An 18,741-nucleotide genomic window follows, 5' to 3' on the forward strand; every position below is an offset into this window, starting at 1 on the left:
CAGGATAACAGCAATTGTTCAGGGAATAAGAGAGATAACCTTAAACTCTGACCAACGGTGAGCCAGGTGGAACAGAGCCATATTTCTCTTCTTTCAAAAGCAAATGGGAGAAATATCACTGAATTCTTTTTCTCAGCAAGGAACATCCCTCGGAAAGAGAATACATGCCTGGGGGTATAGGTCTATAAACGGCCCCCACTAGGTGTGCCCATCTTCTATGGTCAAGGCTGTAGGGGTGAAATAGACTCCAGTCTCCCATAGCGCTCCCAGGCTTATTAGGAAGAGGAAATTCCTGCCTAATAAATTTTGGTCAGACCGGTTGCTCTCAAAACCCTGTCTCCTGATAAGATGTTATCAATGACAATGGTGCCCGAAACTTCATTAGCAATTTTAATTTCACCCCTGTCCTGTGGTCTTGTGATCTCGTTCTGCCTCCACTTGCCTTGTGATATTCTATTACCTTGTGAAGTACTTCATGTCTGTGACCCACACCCTATTCGTACACTCCCTCCCCTTTTGAAACTCCCTAATAAAAACTTCCTGGTTTTTGCAGCTTGTGGGGAATCACGGAACCTACCGACATGTGATGTCTCCCCCGGATGCCCAGCTTTAAAATTTCTCTCTTTTGTACTCTGTCCTTTATTTCTCAAGCCAGCCGACGCTTAGGAAAATAGAAAAGAACCTACGTGACTATCGGGGCAGGTTCCCCGATAAAGTTCCATCAAGAGGCACATGACATCTGGTTGTTTCTCTTTTGTGATGCTGGCAACCATGGATTAAAACACTGACTTTATTAGACTGATTATTTTACAGTGTCTTATCCATCTTCCAAAATGTTTCATGCATACACAAATATAGAATATTAGATATTCACAGTTTTACCCAAACTGCATTCAACTACCATTGTTCTGAAACTTTTCATTTAATGACATGGGAGTAACAGTTTTTTAAAAAATCATAATTCCATAAGATATGCTTCACATGGTAACAATATTGAGTATAGTTTAGATTCTAACAATTTAGAAGACATTTATTCAGAGTAGTGCTTTATACATAGAAGGTGAATAATAAGTTGTTGCTGAATAAATAGCCAGCCCCATTAAATCCAGTCCACTTCTAAGCAGTGGTACGCTGTGAACTGACCTGTACAAGGACTCCACCAGATGTACTACACGATAGACTCAAGTCTTCTAAAATTCCCCAAACATCTTTCTTCTCTCATTGTAAACTAGAAAAAGCCAAACAGTTCCTGGTTTTCACCATTTCTCACTTTGTGTTGTTTTTGAAACAACTGCCTAAAAACCCAGCATGGCTCCATCTTTCTACTGCCTTAACTCGCTCATTCACGCTTTCTCCTCCCTCCAAATAGCTTAAGTATAAGCCATAGCCCCTGATCAAAAATCAAACTGGTAATTTCTGCCACCCCCACTCATGCTAACTGGTGGTTACAAAAAAAACTGACAGCCTGTTTCAACGTTGCCAGAGTCTGAGGGACCCCAAAATGATCAATGTCACCATTTTGCTTCATGACTAGGAGCTTATTGTGCGAAAAGCAGCTACTCCCTATAGTCAATTAATAGTTCCATGAAAGAAGCCAGAGACGTGAGCAATCAAAACTAAATCAGGCAGCGTATTTTTTTTGAGTCCTCCGTATTTCTTTTTTCTAGAATGCTGCTGTGAAAGCTCAGAATATAAACAAGTAGGTGCTTATTAGGAAAAGACTAGTTGAAAATCTTTCGCCCAGCACATCTCAGCCACTGCAACAGTCTTCCTCACCAACAGGCTTACGTCTAAAGGACTCAGTGTGTGAGAATGAAAACGAGGTGGTGGATAAGCGGTTTTTAAACCAGGCTCATGGGCCCTAGGGGTAAGAAAGGGCAGGCACTGAGAGTCTTTGGCCAGCCCTCTATTTCTCTCTCCACCCCCAGCCCTGCACCCCTGCAGGCCACTGAATGACTCAGAGTGAAAGTCATTCCCTCCAGCACCCACAATAACCTGTCCCCACACCAGGAGCCCACCCCAGCCTGACTCAAACTCTGCCTTACTCAGGAAGGGAAGGAGGGCTCTTCCTGAAGCCGCGTTGTGCCAAAGATGCCCCACGCTCCTTGCACACTGCCAGACACTGGGCCCAAAAACTCCAGTGGTTTTACCAAAGGTATGCCTATCCCCCAATTAAAGACCCCTCATTCTGAATAAACCAGTATTCAGTTAATTACTCAAGACAAGACCCTTTAATGGATCCCAGAGGGCCTCTGAGGCAGAGAGAGGGACCTGGGGTCAGGTCCTTGATCTGTCCCCCTGGGCAAATCACTTTCCCGAGATGCCTCTTCGGGTCTGTAGATTGGAGGGACATATTCACTATCTCCTAAAGCTTTTAAAGAATCGAAAAGGCTAATTGCACAATAAAGGCAAATTCTTTCTCCTCCACCCCAGCCTGTCCTGCTTCACTCGCTCTGCTTCATTGTTCTTCATGGGTTTACACCCCCTACTTCATCTGCACTCCGTCCCAGAGAACAGTTCTTGGCCTGTCCACTCAGCAGACACCTTCTCTGACACAGGGACTGTGTAGAGAAAGAAGAGCAGGATAAATCCTCTCTGTTCTTGCACCATTTCTGGTCTAGGAATGATAGTGTGTCATCAGTCTCATCAATAGTTAATGCTTTTGCCTCCCGGAGTCACCCCAGGATAAGACGCTGCCTCAGAAGAAAGCTGTCCCCTCAACTCCAGGTCCAGCAGACACACAGGCCCACTTCGCAGAACATCTCAACCACCTGGGTGTCCTTAGCAAGCTAATGTCGTTTTTTCATCAATCAATCCCATTCCACTCCACCTCCCAGCACCCCATCATCTTCACCATAACTTCAACAGTATCCATGTATCTCAGAGGATACGAATGCTATAGGGTGAGGGCAGGAGCTCCAGTCTACTGAAAAAAACTCAAATTAGGACTACATCCTTCAAACGAGGGATGCGATACATTATTAACAGGCAGTACTCACTCATAACCTACTGGGTACTAGACACCAGGCTATGAGTTTTCAACATATTAATCCCTTTAGTTCTTTTTTCTTTTCTTCTCTTTTTTTTTTTTTTTTTTTTTTTTGAGACAGAGTCTCAGTCTGTTGTCCAGGCTGGAGTGCAGTGGTGCGATCTTGGCTCACTGCAACCTCTACCTCCCAGGTTCAAGCAATTCTCCTGCCTCAGCCTTCCAAGAAGCTGGGATTACAGATGAGCACCACCATGCCCAGCTAACTTTTTTGTATTTTAACTACAGACGGGGTTTCACCGTGTTGGCCAGGCTGGTCTCAAACTCCTGACCTCAGGCGATCCTCCCGCCTCTGCCTCCCAAAGTACTGGGATTACAGGCGTGAGCCACTGCGCCCGGACTCCTTTAGTTCTTATTACAATACTAAGGTATAGGTACAGTTGTTATCCCAATTTTCCATACGAGGAAATACAAAGGGATGGAGAGATTAAAGAAGGAGCCCAGGGTCAGATGGCTGGTAGGGGGTGGGGGTGCAATGATCTGGTTCTGTAGCTTGAGGGCCTTTTCCACAGAAAAGTAAAAGGAGGACCATACTTCTGTTGCAGAAACTGCCAGCGACCACAACCACTCATATTTAAACCCATCAGGAGAAAAGTCCTATTCACTCTCTGGACTGAGGATCAGAAGATCTCGGGCCACACCCAGGCCCTACCACCAGCAGCAGCAATAACACGGCCTTCAAACAGGGATTTCACCTCTTCTAACCCCTATTTTCCCATCTAAAAGACGAGTGTTCTAGATAATAGCTCTCATATCCTAGGATTATCTGCAAGGAAACCAGGGAGCAGAGTCTTAAGTCTTCCGCACTTGAGGTCAGAGGGACCTAGTTCAACTCTGGGCTGTGAGGCCAGCTGGCTGGTGACTGTGGGTGGGTAATTTAACCTCTAGGTTTCCGCCTCCTCATTTGCAAAGAAGGATAACAATGAATTTATTGCAAGTACTAAAGGAAGCAACACCCACAAATGCTGAATCCAGTGTCCAGCATATAACAAACACCTAATAAATGACAGACAGTCGTATTATTATTATTACCATTACTATTATCAAGATCTGAAATTCCACAGAAGGAAATCTTCCCCTCTTTAATACGGTAGACTTTATAACCTTATTTGGAAGGATAATCTGGCTAACACATTTTCCCATTTAAATCCTTGAACAACCAAGTCTGACTCAGAGTGGAGGGGGATAGGGCGGAGGGCATAAAGGTAGCAGCTGGATCCCAGGCCCCTCATCTGATGGAGGAAGAGTTTTGCTGGCTCCCCATTCTAATTCTATCCCTGCCTCTCTCTTATGCCCCTCCCACCACACTCCTGCTCCCAAGACCCTATAAGTAACCTAACCGGTCTTAAAAAAAAAGACACCACCTGAGCAAGTCTATAGCTGCTGAATGATAATGACAAGGTTCCTATGGCAACCCCCATTTCTAAAGTTTGGGTGGTGGAAGACAGAGAGGGATCATTTGGCACCTGGCTTATGGGTGAAACACCTTGAAACTGCATGTTTTTTAATTCTCTCCACAATTAGAGCCAGGCCTTACACTTTTCCAGCACAAGACACTTTACAAGGTGTTTCACACAAGTTAACTACCATGTGAGATAAGGAGGAGAGATTACTGACCCTGTTTTTTACAAATGAAAAACCTAACAATTGGACTTGTTAACAGCTCATATGCAGTAAATCCAGGATAAGACCTTGGGTCTCTTGACTCCTAAACAAGCGATTTACTCAAGACCCCACTGTGTCTTCCAGCCCTAGCTACCTTCTCTCTACCGCCCCAGCCTTCTAGGCTTTCTCCTTCTCTCAAGTCACTTACTTCGAGGCACACTTACCCAACCTTTGCATTTCTGCCTTCTGTCACATCCTGCTCTGTTTCCACAATTATCAAGTGACTCAGCTCTCCAATTAAACTGTGTACATGTCTATTCAATACCATTCAGCTGTAAAATAACCTACACATTTCTACAGTGATGCCTAGGACAAAGTTTTATTCACCAAGCGACTATGCCACCGGCTCCAGTTAAAGACTACCAGGAACATACCTGTGGTCAAACAAAGTTGGGTTCATTGGTTCACTGCAGCAAGGTGGACACTACAACAGGCAGAATTTCAGAGATCTCAGCAAGAGGATGTCAGGAGGAGCTCATTATACAATTTGGACTGTGTTCAGTGATTTAGGGGTAGGCTCAGGGAAATGTAGTTTTGCTCTGAATTGGGTGCTGTCAACAGAGCAGAAATTTTATGATGACGTAGCTTCCTAATTTTTATCTAAGAGGCAGGAGGAACAGAATGAGGCTAAAGCCATAATCGGTAAAGAAACATTCGTGTGAGCTGAGACTGGGGAATGTTTGGTTGTTTTTGTGCCTTGCAGTGATCTTGCTTTTATCTGTGCTCAGTGTTGATGATTGAGTGGTCTTGTTTTTGTCTTGTTCTATTACCAACATAGAGTGACTCCATCACTCTATATTGTATTCTGTGAAACTCTTTATGCCCAAGAAGAGAACACACAAAGGCCCCAGCTATTAGAGCCAGGCTGGCTCTAAGCAGATAGCAGCAGAAGGAACTATTCTTTGTAATTTTCTCGACAACTTGTTCCACAAGTCACAATACCTGTTTGTGGTATTTACTTTGTACTTTTTAAAAATAAGACTCATGATGGAGAAGGCTGATGTGAGCCAACGTTGAAAGGTCAGCCCTGGAGCTACAAAAAGAGGCCTCTGAGCTGAGAAACTGAAACCGATGCTCCCAGATGAAGTTTTTTTTTTCCTGCCATCAACTGTGGAAGTAATTAATAGTCACTTTTATTTCAGAATTTGTTTTATATTTAACAAAGCCTCCTGAGCATCCCTTCATGGCTTCAAGGTGGTCTGGGCACAAGATCGATAAAGATTTCGCCCCTTAATTAGGTTACATTCCAGCAAAGGTAACATGTGTTTTTTGTCTATAAAAATAAACACAACAAATTTAAAAAAACATACAGTCTGTTAGAAAGTGCTAAGTACGATAAAGGCTGGGCACGGTGGCTCACACTTGTAATCCTAGCACTTTTGGAGGCCAAGGCGGGCAGATTGCCTGAACTCAGGAGTTCGAGACCAGCCTGGGCAACACAGTGAAATCCCGTCTCTACTAAAAAAACATATATACAAAAAATAAGCCGGGCGTGGCGGCGTACACCTGTAGTCCCAGCTACTTGGGAGGCTGAGGCAGGAGAATTGCTTGAACCTGGGAGGCGGAGGTTACAGTGAGTGGAGATTGGGCCGCTGCACTCCAGCGTGGGCAAGACAGCGAGACTCCGTCTCCAAAAAAAAAAAAAAAAAAAAAAAGAAAGAAAGAAAGAAAGAAAAGTGATAAGTGCTATGAAAATAAAGAAAAAACAGAACAGGGTAAAGAGGGATGGGAATGCCAGGCGAGGGTCACAGTGATCAATGAGGCAGCCAGGCAAGCCCTCCGCCATATGAAACTGAAACATGAGAAAGTCTTGATGGAAATGAAGGGGGGGCCTAAACAAAGCCACCAAAGAGAAATTAATCCAAGGAGAAATTAATCCAAAGGGAAATCAGCACCATCGTCTCATTTCAGATATGCGACAACTGAGAACTAGAGAGGTCTAGGAACTTGTCCGAGACCACACAATTTGATGATAGAACCAGGTGGAACGTGGGTCTGCAGATTCCCTGCCACAAGCTTCCTTCCCTATAATGAACAGGATATAAGAGCATTCTGTATAGGATCAAATCCAGAAGTAACTCCAGAATCACAGGCAGAAACAGCCGCTGCTTTTCAAGCACACACAGGTTTACAATACCTGTGTGTATCCATGCCAACTTGCAAAGTGTTAACTACCAAATGATCCTGAGAGGTCCAACCTTTAGCCTCATTCAAAACAGGGGAAGAGGAGGAGGCTGTGAGCATTTAAGTCCCTTGTTCAACATCTAGATGGCCAAAGGCAGGGTTTATTTTCAAACCCCAGCTGCATAATTTCATAGCTCTATTATGCAAAACACCACACACCAGTATGATGTTCACAGATACATGTGGCCTACATAACCCTTAATAATACCTACTTCACAGACAGTTGTGAGGCTTAAATAAGTATGCCCACATATGCCGAAGATAGCAAGGATACAAAAAAGTGCCAGTTCCTTTCCCACATGTGCTGAGTTGGAAACAGCTTGGTGCCAGAGCACGTCCACAAGGATATGTCTGCCTGTTGTGCCGTCTGCTGTATCCTCAAAACCTGCCTTGGGGCAGGCACTAAATATTCACTGAATGGATGGAAAATAGAAGTATGCAAGCTCTTCCTTCTGCTCTTTGTTCTCAATACTCTAGGGATCCCCGAGAACACCTCTCAGTTCAGCTGTGGACAAGAGGAAGCAAATGCGAAAGTGAAACTGCTCTCAGCAGGTCCCAACTGAGTCCCTACTGGGCAGGCTCGTGGCCAGCCAGATGCCCAGACCGGCCATACCAGACAGTCCTTGTAGAGGCTGAACAAGATAAATTGCCTATTGTGGATTAAAAAATCTACCAAAGCACTCTAGAATGGATTCCAAGATCCATTTGCATCAAAAACGTGAAAGCAAATGAGTATCACATTCAAGGACTTGGCATATCACAAACTCAGAGCTGATCAATGTAATTATAAATGCACTTAAGGGGAAAAAAAAAAAAAAAAAAAAAAAAAAGAAAGGACCTTGCCCTGGGCATGAAGAGAAGCCATGACAGGCTGCTTTGTTAAATATAAAACAAATTCTAAAATAAAAGTGACTATTAATTACTTCAGCAGTTGATGGCAGAAAAAAAAAATCTTGGTCTGGGAGCATCGGTTTCAGTTTCTCAGCTCAGAGACCCCTTTTTATAGCTCCAGGCTGACCTTTCACCATCGGCTCACATCAGCCTTCTCCATCATGAGTCTTATTTTTAAAAAGTACAAGGTAAATCCCCCAGTGTTCTAATCAAGCCCCCTTACTCACTTGAAGGGTAACCTTCATAGAAAAGAGAGCACTTGATAAATTCCAAAGCAAGTAAAAATAAGACATTATGAAGAAGATAGTCTAATCATCACAGCTAATTACAAAAGCAGAGTACATCATTTTATTCTCCCCAAGTGTCTCCAGTTTATTTAAAAAAAAAAAGGTCCAATTTAACAAAGACATTCTGTGTTACTGGTCTGAAGAGACACAGAAGGAATCTTGGGAGATGCAGTTGTGATTTATAAAGCCAAAGAGTTAGCTGTTGAAACAGTTATTCATAAATGTATCGGTGACATATGTAAATATATAATGATATGCCAACTGGATGCAAGAGCCCGGCGAAGGTGCTGTGGGGTGCCATGTTGCATCAAGCGAGGCCGCGTCCTTCACAAGCTTATGGCTGATTGCAGCATTACAAAACCCCAGAGGCAGGACCACAAGGCATTCAGCAGAGAGAGAGAGCACTTTCCAGCTCAGGAGGCCCGGGCAGTCATTCTGGAGAAGGTGGCATATAAAGTGGGCCTTAGGCTGGGCACGGTGGCTCACGCCTGTAATCTCAGCACTTTGGGAGGCCGAGAAGGGCGGATTATGAGGTCAGGAGACCGAGACCATCCTGGCAAACACGGTGAAACCCTGTCTCTACTAAAAATACAAAAAAATTAGCCGGGTGTGGTGGCGGTACCTGTAGTTCCAGCTACTCGGGAGGCTGAGGCAGGAGAATGGCATGAACCCAGGAGGCGGAGCTTGCAGTGAGCGGAGATCGCGCCACCACACTCCAGCCTGGGCAAGACAGCGGGACCCCGTCTCAAAAAAAATAAATAAATAAAAATAAAGTGGGCCTTGAAGAACGGGTGGAAGGTAGAGGGGTGGAGTGGGAAACTGTCAGAACCCTAACCATTTGCTAGCCACTCCATGTGCCCCCAACCTGCCCAACCCAGAAAGGATCAGGCGAGAGACCTCAGGGTCTGGAGGGCCCATCACGCCTCACCAGGGCTGTGTGGTACAATCCCCAGGACCCATGTTTCAGAACCCAAATGCCACATTCCAGCCAAGATGGCAGGAATCAGAATTTCAGAGGTGGGGCTTGGTCCTGTGCTTCTGGGAAAGGCCCTCAAGGAATTTCTGATGAGCAGCCCTCTGCCCCCAGGAACCACAGATTAACACCAGTATCTTAGTTTTCGAAGTGGAGCAAATGAAACTCAGAGTGGGGGGGTTCCTTACTTTTTCATCATCATTCTGATGAATATGTAGTGAATACCAACCTCAGGATACAAAAATTAATAAAGCCCATACCTGCCCTCATTACACGTTTTTTGCTCAGTGAGTCCTTACAGCAAAACCATGAAGGACTACTGTCATCTCTTCACATGCCCCCTTTTTATTAAGACAAAGAAACTGAAGCTTAAAAGGTTAAGAGAACAGGAATAATAAATGATGGAGTCGGGATCAAGTCTTGGCATCCTGAGACGCACCCCGCACCTCTGTGCTGCTTACTGGAGGCTTCCCGGGCACCCAGCCCTACGCTGGCACCTGGGCGATGACTATGTACAACAAATGGCCTCTGATCTCAGTAGGAATAGGGGGTTTAGGGGACAGCAGAAGAGAGCTGTCCAAGAACCAAACTTCCACTGAAAAGATTTCAAAATGTTTCATGTGCAGAATCCAACCAGAGTGCTGAACTGTGGCCATACCCGGACCAGTTCTCAGGGGGCCATGCTCCTCTGGAAATGTTCTCCACCCAGACAAACACATGCCTCTCCATGGAAGAGGGTCAGAACCATTCCCGACAGAACAAGCTGGGTGGGTGGGTGGTGGGTCTAAGCAGTCACTTCCCCCTCAGAGCCTCAGTGAGGTCCATACGAAGAGGCTGAAATGAAGACTTAAGGCGCAGCTCCTAGAAGTGATAAATAGATCTACTGATCATCAGCCAAGAGAGTAAGACACAGGGGAAATCCCACCAGAACTGGGAATTAGACACTGTTTCCAGGTCCCTGTGAGGCAGCCACTGTGTCTTCTTTGGTGAAAGAACCGGATTACAGCCCTAAACTTAGAGGCGGACAACGCCAAGCCCTAGGCTGGTGCGTCTACTTTTAGCTGTGTGAGCCAAGCGAGGTAGCTTACTTCAGCACAGATCGCCCTGCTGAAAAACGGCAACTTGGAAAGGTTTCTGTGAGGATTTAATAAAACAGCTTTGAAAACGCTACACATCTTACCTGGCTCACGACAGGTGCTTTACAAACGGCTGATGCATCTGAATGCGTTTCTTAATGTAGGTTCTGAAAAATAGACAAGGCCCCTTTAAGGTTAGTTGTCAGATGAACCTGTCTGTCATTATCCTCTCCTGTCTCCCCGCCGCTCCCTAATTTTTGTTTTTCCAAGAGCAAGCAGAAAAAGCTAAAATAACTTTTTTTTTTCTTTTTTTGAGACAGAGTCTCGCTCTGTTGCCCAGGCTGGAATGCAGTGGCGTGATCTCAGTTCACTGCAACCCTTGCCTTCTGGATTCAAGTGATTCTTGTACCTCAGTCTCCCCAGTAGCTGGGATTACAGGCTCAGCTAATTTTTGTATTTTTAGTAGAGATGAGGTTTTGCCATGTTGGCCAGACTGGTCTCGAACTCCTGGCCTTGAGGGATCCGCCCTTCTCAGCCTCCCAGAAGTGCTGGGATTACAGCGGTGAACCACCGCACCCAGCCTAAAAGAACATCTTTAAGTAAAGGTTCATGGGGCAGACAGATTAGTGGCTCTTTTATTCTAAGCTGGAAGCCAAAAGGAACAGACTCCCCTCAAGGGCAGGAGAAAAAAATCCATTGGGAGCTTTTGATACCCAGACAGCTGGGAAGCCCCAAAGGGCAAGAATTCAATAAATACTCCCACTGGACAGGCAACGGCAAGAAACGATGCAATCAGAAAAAGGCCAAGTTAAATTACATGTTCACTTGCAGTAAGTTTTCAAGGACACATACTAACAAAACACTTACTTAAATATTTCTTATAGTTGTTTATCGGTAAATGTTAGTAATTAGTAATTAATGCTCTCCTAGATAAACAAAATGCCTATTTTAAATAGAAAATGATAATCGAGTGCATCAGAGAGAATCTCTAGCCTATCACACAAGAGATCTCGCCTTTGACACCATAAACCATATTACTGCACACCCAGGGCAGTTATCTGCTTAAGACCTGGGCTTGAGAAAAAATGACTAGCCTCCAGGAAACAACAGATGCTGGAGAGGAAGTGGAGAAATAGGAATGCTTTTACACTGCTGGTAGGAGTGTAAATTAGTTCAACCATTGTGGAAGACAGTGTGGCGATTCCTCAAGGATCTAGAACCAGAAATACCATTTGACCCAGCAATCCCATTGTTACCGGGGTTCCTTGCTCCCAAGTTGGAACCGGGAGTTCCAACTCCCAAGATCGTGGCGGGCCGCTTCCAAAATGGCGGCCGGTCGCTTCCAAGATGGTGGCAAGCCTCGTGTTCTCTGACCTGGGGTTCTTGGCCTCACAGATTCCAAGGAATGGAATCTTGGGCCATGTGGTGAGTGTTATAGTTCTGTTAGAAGCCACGAGTCACGGAAGAGAACCGTGGAACCCCGTGACTAGTGTTCAACTCGATTAGGATGAACCCAGGCACGTAGCTGTGCAGGAACAACGGCAAGCCTTTAGCCCGATCGGGAGCGGCAATGGGCACCTTGCTGGATCAGGAGCCCAGTGGACATCCTGCTGGATCCAGAGGGATGGAAGTCAGCGGCAGGTCTGTGACTGTGGCAAACAGCAATGGTGGACAGCAAGCGAAAGCTCAGCTCCAGCCATAACAAACCCGGACCAGAAGAGAGTGCGGTTGCAAGATTTAACAGAGTGAAAACAGAGCTCCCATACAAAGGGAGGGGACCCAAAGAGGGTAGCCATTGCTGGCTCGAATGCCTGGGTTTATATCCTGATCATTGTCCCTCCCGCTGTGCTCTCAGGTGATAGTTGATTGGCTATTTCTTTACCTCCTGTTTTTGCCTAATTAGCATTTTAGTGAGCTCTCTTTACTACCTGATTGGTCGGGTGTGAGCTAAGATGCAAGCACCCTGTTTAAAGGTGGATGCGGTCACCTTCCCAGCTAGGCTTAGGGATTCTTAGTTGGCCTAGGAAATCCAGCTAGTCCTGTCTCTCACCATTACTGGGTACATACCCAAAGGATTATAAATTATTCTACTATAAAGACACATGCACACGTATGTTTATTGCAGCACTATTCACAATAGCAAAGACTTGGAACCAATCCAAATGCCAATGATAAGCTAGATAAAGAAAACGTGGCACATACACACCACGGAATACTATGCAGCCATAAAAAAGGATGAGTTCATGTCTTTTGCAGGGACATGGGTTAAGCTGGAAACCATCATTCTCAGCAAACTAACACAAGATCAGAAAACCAAACACCGCATCTTCTCACTCATAGGTGGGAGTTGAACAATGAGAACACATGGACACAGGGAGGGGAACATCACACACTGGGGCCTGTAGGGGGTCGGGGGCTAGGGGAGGGATAACATTAGGACAAATACCTAATGTAGATGACGGGTTGATGGGTGCAGCAAACCACCATGGCACATGTATACCTATGTAACATAACTGCACGTTCTGCACATGTATCCCAGAACTTAAAGTATAATTAAAAAAAATAAAAATGACTAGCCCCAAGGGAGCTCACCTTATAAATGCAAACCTGTATCATGATAATAATGTTGTATTACTGTACTTCCTAATTTCAGAACGACATCTCATCATAGTCATTTTTAAAATATGGAAACAAACGCACGAGCTTTGGGAAAAGGTAGAAATGACACTAGGAAAACAACGGGCACCCAACAGATACAAACAAAAAGCCTTCACCTTACATTGTGGCCTCTGGCGGTATAAACTTGGTCCCCACCAGGCTTCTGGAAGAAGTGTTGTCTGAGTAGGGACTCAGAAAATAAAAGGGAGTTTTCAACAGGCCCAAAGCAGTTTCAGGCTTAACAAAGGCCACATTGTATAAAATTCTTCTCAACTCCTAAAGCTGGAGGATCCTTGGAAGTAAAAAGCAGTCAGAAGTCAGGTATCAAACAGAGACCGGGGCTTAAATCCAGGTATGTTTTCTTGGTCTTGAATGATTAACGAAATCAACAAAATGTGGTCAAGAGCTGGAAGCAACCCATTATGACATGTATGGTTCATCAAGGACATGTTCAGCAACAGATAAATGGGCAAACCAAGGTGCTATGTGGCATACATATAAAGTAGAAGGAAATATCATCGACACGCTACACCATGTGATGTAAACTTTGAGGACCTCATGCTAAGTGAAATACGCCAGTCACAAAACAACAAATACTATATCATTCCACTCATATAAAGTACCTGGAGGACTCAAACCCATAGAGAATGCTGCTTGCCAGGGGCTGGGAGGAGGGGAAAATAGGGAGTTCTTGTTCAAAGGATGCACAATTTCAGTTCTGCAAGATCCAAACAGTTCTGGAGATTGGCTGCACGACAATGTGAAGATACTTAACACTACTGAACTGTCCACCCAAAAATAGTTAAGATGGTCAATCTTATGTGTATTTTACAATTAAAAAATTTTAAATTTTTTTTTAAATTAAAAAAAAATTTTTTTGTACAGACAGGGTCTCACTATGTTGCCCAGACTGCTCTTGAACTCCCGGACTCAAGTGATCCTACCGCTTCAGCTTCCCAAAGTGTTAGGATTACAGGCGTGAGCCACGATGCCTGGCCTTTTTTGAATTTTTTTAAATCGAGAAGCTGATACTTAACCCCAGGGCTTGAAATAAGACTTAAATAAAATAATGTACACAGTCTAACCCATAGCACCTGGCATACCATAGATGTTCAAATAAATATTTGTTTCTCCCACTGTCTTTGTTTTCGGAATAAGAAATAAAGTTGTGGCCAGAGAAGTTAAGGGCCTGGAGGGGCAATCCTAGTGGTTGGGAACTCCAGGGTCACAGTGTCCTGGCTCCACACTGGATTCTCTACTCAGCAGCAAGCATGGCCTGAGGAAAGCGACCCAGCCTCTCTGACACTCAGCGTCCTGAGCTGTGAAGGTGGTGGTGGGATCAGCACCTCAGAGGGGGCTCTTCTGAGGATGGGCGTGCAACCGTGATCAGGAGAATGCCTGGCTCACACAAACATGACTTCAGCGCTCACCAGGGCAAAGCGGGGGCAAGACCAACACGTGCAAACTACCAGGCCACTACCCTGACCCTCCTGGGCCAGTCCCCCACTCCAGCTGCCCACAACAACTAGAATGGTGCATCTGCCTGCAAGCTGGAGTCAGCACGGGGAACACCGTGGGCGCAGCCAGCCTGAGGCCTTTCTGATGACCTACTGCACTGCCACCACAACCACGACCCTTGCCCGTACATCCATGCACCCTCAGCAAGGTCCTTGGAGTGTGAAGCCTGCACTCCTGGGCACTGTCGCTAGAGAGATTTCAACCCTGAATCTCAGGGTGGGCAACGCTTCCTTAGGCTGAGAGTGGGTAACGAAGCGGCATCGCCCAGGCAGCCTCTGCCTCGAACACCTCTCTTCTTCCTCCTTTTCTTCCACCCCCCTTATTCCCATCTGTGCGGCAAGGAAAAGGTCAGTAAGCACAGCCCTATCTTGGTATTCTCTCCAAAGCTCCACATTAAAGGAAAACTGACATCTGAGAGGAGGTAACAGCTAACTCGTTTTTCTCTTCGTTAACTTGGTGGCCGAGTACAGCCACCACCTGGGCTAAGCATGCCAGCCTTTGCTAACACCCATTCTGCAAAAGGACCAAGCACTGCAACTCGGCTAGCTGTTCCTCACTCCCACTCCTCACCCACCTACACACACACACAAACACACACACACACACACACCCTTAGCCTACAATTTACAGCAACAACAAGAAATCATAACAGCGAATGTAGCATATTGCCATAGAACAAGCCATGGAATTTGCACAAGATCCCTTGGACAAGCAATTAACCTCACTAAGCCTCAGGCTCCTCACCCACAGAATGGCCACGCAGACACGCCTGGCCTCTCCATGCTGCCATGAGGATCCTTGACTGTCAAATCTGGAGAACTCTCCTACGCAGCATTTGGTGCCACTCCTCAGTCCTGCCCCCCAGCACTTCGCGCCAGCCCCAGGAGATCTTGCACCCGCAAATAAATGCTTTCACTGGGATTATGCAACTCACTTCTGCTCACCACCCTTCGGCCAGAATGAGCCACATGGCCCTAGAAAAGGGCAGGGAAGGTGACCATTCCTATGTCCTCAGTAGAAGAAAAGTGGATTTTGGGACCCAGACATTCTTTTTTTTTTTTTTTTTTTTTGAGACAAGGTCTCACTCTGTCACCCAGGCTGGAGTGGCATGATCTCAGCTCACTGCAACCTCTGTCTCCTGGGTTCAAGCAATTCTCATGCCTCAGCCTCCCGAGTAGCTGGGATTACAGGCACGCGCCACCATGCCCGGCTCATTTTTTTGTATATTTAGTAGACAGAGGGTCTCACCATGTTGGCCAGGCTGGTCTTGAACTCCTGACCTCAAATGATCCACCTGCCTCACCTTCCCAAAGTGCTGGGATTACAGGCATGAGCCACCGTGCCCGGCAGGAACCAGATGTTTCTAACACAGACAAATCCTCTGTCCTCGAGAGCTCACGGCAAGTGGTGAAGACAAGCTACACAAACCCCTGGGAAGAAAACATCATGGAAAAGGCTGCCAAAGATCCTGTAAGCTGCCATGGGAGCAAAGGAAGACTCTGTTCGGCCCACCTGGGAGCCTTCGACAGAGGTGTGTGTGACATCAGGGAAGCCTTCCTGGGGGAGGTTATATCCGAACATCTTGAACAATACAGGCGATCTTCTCAGGGAAGAGGATTGACGGCAGTCGCTGAGCAAAGAGGCTCCTGGCCTTGATCAACACTACAATTTCGTCTTTTCCAGTGCTGTGGCCTGGGCTCCTTCCTAACTGTATCATAAACCCACTCTGAGTGGGTGTACCTGACACTGTGACCGCCAGGGCCGAATCACCAGGAACGCAGGAAGCTGAGGGCCAGCCGGACACCTGGGTCCCAAGAGAAACAGTGTGGGGACACAGAGGCTAGATAGGCCTGGGTTCAAATCCCAGCTCTGTCACGTGTCCTCGGGGGCCACCATGACGTTCGTTTGTGGGCTTGGTGTTATAAAACATAAGTTCTTCTTGTGAGAGCTGTGTTTTCATTGACCTAACAAATCTATTAACACAAAAAGGGCAGTCCATGGTCAAAATTTTTTATCAGAGGTCAAAAGAGTCAAAACAATATTGATGATTGATGTTCCTACTATACCTACATATTAGTATCTATCAGAGGTAGCACGCACCGAGTCCTCACCAAGGGCCTGGCCAATTTCTAGTCTATTATTATTATTGTTGTTATTATTATACTCTTTCACGGATGAGAAAATTAAGGCACAGAAGTCAATTAAGCTGTCCGAGAGCATAGGAATGTGTTGCAGAAAGCGGTTTGCCTCCATACTGAGCCCAGCAGGGAACTCACCGTTCCCACTTCTCACACAGCACCGTGGCACACAGGAACACGGGAGCCGACAGTTTAGGGTTCAAGTCTCAGCTTTGCCACTCAGTCACTCCTTTATCTCGGGCGTGCCACCTCTGCAAGCCTCACTTCCCTCATTTCTGAAATGGAGGTTAATCCAACCTCATCAGGTAATTGAGGCAAAGCATTTGCCATGGAGAAGCACTCAATAATGCTGTTGTCTTTATTTCCTTTAGCAGTCAAGAGGGTGGGGTCCCTGCCGTCTCGGCTTGCCCAACAGTCTCCTGCCTCACGATGGGGCCAGGGGATGGCTGACAATGCCTGGTCAATCCCATCCCCATTTCTAGAAGACCCTGTAAGTTCAGGTAAACTTTATTAGAAATACAAAGGAGGAGCCAGGCCCAGTGGCTCATGCCTGTAATCCCAACACTGGGAGGCCGAGGTGGGCGGATCACAAGGTCAGGAGTTCGAGACCAGCCTGACCAACATGGTGAAACCCCCGTCTCTACCAAAAAAAAAAAAAAAATGCAAAAATTAGCTGGATGTGGTGACGCATGCCTATAATCCCAGTTACTCAGGAGGCTGAAGCAGGAGAATCACTTGAACCCAGGAGGCGGAGGTTGCAGTGAGCCGACATTGCGCCATTGCACTCCAGCCTGGATGACAGAGCGAGACTCTGTCTCAGAAAAAAAAAAAATGAAAGGAGATAGGAGTACTTTTATTTTCAAAAAATTGAAAACTGTGGTTCCTGAACTGGAAGACACTAAAAGTAACCCAGGGTTTTGAGGAGGCCAATGTCTGGGGCCTGCTCCCATTGGACTGCAGTTTCACTTGAAGGCAAAGTCATTATATGGCATCCCACATCTGTTAATCTGGCCTAACTAACGCCTCCCATGTTTCCAGGTGAATGTGAGGCATATGGAGCTATGACAAGCATCACAGAAGTTCCAACTCCAGTGAGGGGTGCAGCTCCCCTTTCTTCTTCCATTGCCTGGCAATGGTTTGTACAGAACCTACCAGGCAGGTAGAGTCTTGACCTGACAGAGACAGGAGGAAGCTGGGAGGCAGGAAAGGTCAAGAAGACCCTTCAGACCACTGATGACCATTAAGGTTCCTTGTAGGTTTAAGGGGCTCTCATTTACTTCAATAATCCTGGAGCCCCCATCAGTGCCTACCATGGAGCTAGGACCCAGCAAAGACATGGAGGCCCCTATGTTCAGGAAGGTTATTTACAATAAAGATGCAATAAAGTGCTATGCTGATATAAATAAATAGCCCAAAGCACAATACAGATACTAAGTACATACATGATAAAGACAAGAAGGGAACTTAAGAAACCAATGCTGGCTTCGTGTTGCTGGGGAAAGCTACATAGGCAAGGTGCAGGTGGCCTTGGAGTGGAGAGCGCCTAAGTCTTCTTCCTTTACTTGTTTCAAAAATGCATGCTTCTGTACATTTTACCAGGCAAGACTGTAAGCTCCTTGAGGGTAGGGATGGTGCCCTGTTTACCACACTATCCCCAGTACCATGCATAGAATAGAGACTCAAATGCTGGACTGATGGATGGATGAATGGATAGATGGGCAGAAGGATAGTCAGGGCTGCATCACTGCCTTGAGACAGCAGCAGAAGACATATAGATTTAAGTGGCCAAAGCCCACAGAACAGGGCTTTCCCCAGAGGCCCGTGGCCACATTTTTCCTCTTCCTACTTTCAGAATCTACAGCACTTTTAGCCCACAGTCCCTGGGTTTCACAATCACTGCCTATATTTGGACTGTACTCCTGATGTGGCCTTATCCTGCAGGCCTCTATCTCTCGCTCACTCTCTCACATGTCTCTCTCGATCACCTTTAACCTACTTCTGCTCCTGACCTGGATCCCTGGCCCACCCACAGGTTGGTTCGCAGTTTCTGAAAGAGTCACAGCCGTGGGTGTCAGGCCCAGCCCAGCAGACAGAACACGTTTGGATGCACTGTTATCATAAAGTACTGCTGACTTCTACTGTGGAACAGAATTCAGTGACCTCTGCTTCCACGTCTGTGCAGGACAAGCTCCCTCTGCTTTTGCTCCATAGCCCCAAGTCTAGCCCAGAACCTACTCCCCTTCACCCATCTTCAAGAAGGGAAGGCACAGCTGGGAGCCGTAAAATGCCACTATACCCATGAGCT

The 18,741-nt window shown here is 46.1% G+C and overlaps 1 protein-coding gene across 22 annotated transcripts in view, besides 7 other annotated features; it reads right to left on the reverse strand.

Moving 5' to 3' along the window:
• LARGE1 (LARGE xylosyl- and glucuronyltransferase 1) overlaps positions 1-18,741 on the reverse strand; it is an 856,162-nt gene that overhangs the window by 779,851 nt on the left and 57,570 nt on the right. For 11 of the 22 annotated variants that reach the window (XR_007067993.1, XR_007067994.1, XM_024452302.2 and 8 more), the window contains exon 2: positions 10,227-10,289. The exons of 9 other annotated variants lie outside the window; for them this stretch is intronic. The gene's annotated coding sequence lies outside the window, so the exon portion shown is untranslated. Of the gene's footprint in view, positions 1-1,143; positions 7,699-10,226; positions 10,290-18,741 lie in introns of those variants that run through there. 2 more of the 22 variants (XM_047441602.1, XM_047441601.1) reach the window with 2 other exon arrangements.
• Positions 1,748-2,042: an enhancer, noted in NCBI's record as "tiled region #8125; K562 Activating non-DNase unmatched - State 24:Quies". NCBI's record gives its function as "activates a minimal TATA promoter and a strong SV40 promoter by Sharpr-MPRA in K562 cells {active_cell/tissue: K562}" and the evidence as "EXISTENCE:reporter gene assay evidence [ECO:0000049][PMID:27701403]".
• Positions 1,878-2,027: a silencer, noted in NCBI's record as "silent region_13647". NCBI's record gives its function as "represses an Ori minimal core promoter by ATAC-STARR-seq in GM12878 lymphoblastoid cells {active_cell/tissue: GM12878}" and the evidence as "EXISTENCE:reporter gene assay evidence [ECO:0000049][PMID:35858748]".
• Positions 2,726-3,361: an enhancer, noted in NCBI's record as "NANOG-H3K27ac-H3K4me1 hESC enhancer chr22:34245227-34245862 (GRCh37/hg19 assembly coordinates)". NCBI's record gives its function as "activates a minimal SCP1, AML or CMV promoter by ChIP-STARR-seq in naive H9 embryonic stem cells {active_cell/tissue: H9 hESC(naive)}" and the evidence as "EXISTENCE:reporter gene assay evidence [ECO:0000049][PMID:30033119]".
• Positions 6,832-7,333: an enhancer, noted in NCBI's record as "H3K27ac hESC enhancer chr22:34249333-34249834 (GRCh37/hg19 assembly coordinates)". NCBI's record gives its function as "activates a minimal SCP1, AML or CMV promoter by ChIP-STARR-seq in naive H9 embryonic stem cells {active_cell/tissue: H9 hESC(naive)}" and the evidence as "EXISTENCE:reporter gene assay evidence [ECO:0000049][PMID:30033119]".
• Positions 6,832-7,833: a biological region, named in NCBI's record as "H3K27ac hESC enhancers GRCh37_chr22:34249333-34249834 and GRCh37_chr22:34249835-34250334".
• Positions 7,234-7,503: an enhancer, noted in NCBI's record as "active region_18887". NCBI's record gives its function as "activates an Ori minimal core promoter by ATAC-STARR-seq in GM12878 lymphoblastoid cells {active_cell/tissue: GM12878}" and the evidence as "EXISTENCE:reporter gene assay evidence [ECO:0000049][PMID:35858748]".
• Positions 7,334-7,833: an enhancer, noted in NCBI's record as "H3K27ac hESC enhancer chr22:34249835-34250334 (GRCh37/hg19 assembly coordinates)". NCBI's record gives its function as "activates a minimal SCP1, AML or CMV promoter by ChIP-STARR-seq in naive H9 embryonic stem cells {active_cell/tissue: H9 hESC(naive)}" and the evidence as "EXISTENCE:reporter gene assay evidence [ECO:0000049][PMID:30033119]".

Source organism: Homo sapiens, chromosome 22 (assembly GCF_000001405.40).
Source record: "Homo sapiens chromosome 22, GRCh38.p14 Primary Assembly".
NCBI lineage: Eukaryota > Metazoa > Chordata > Mammalia > Primates > Hominidae > Homo > Homo sapiens.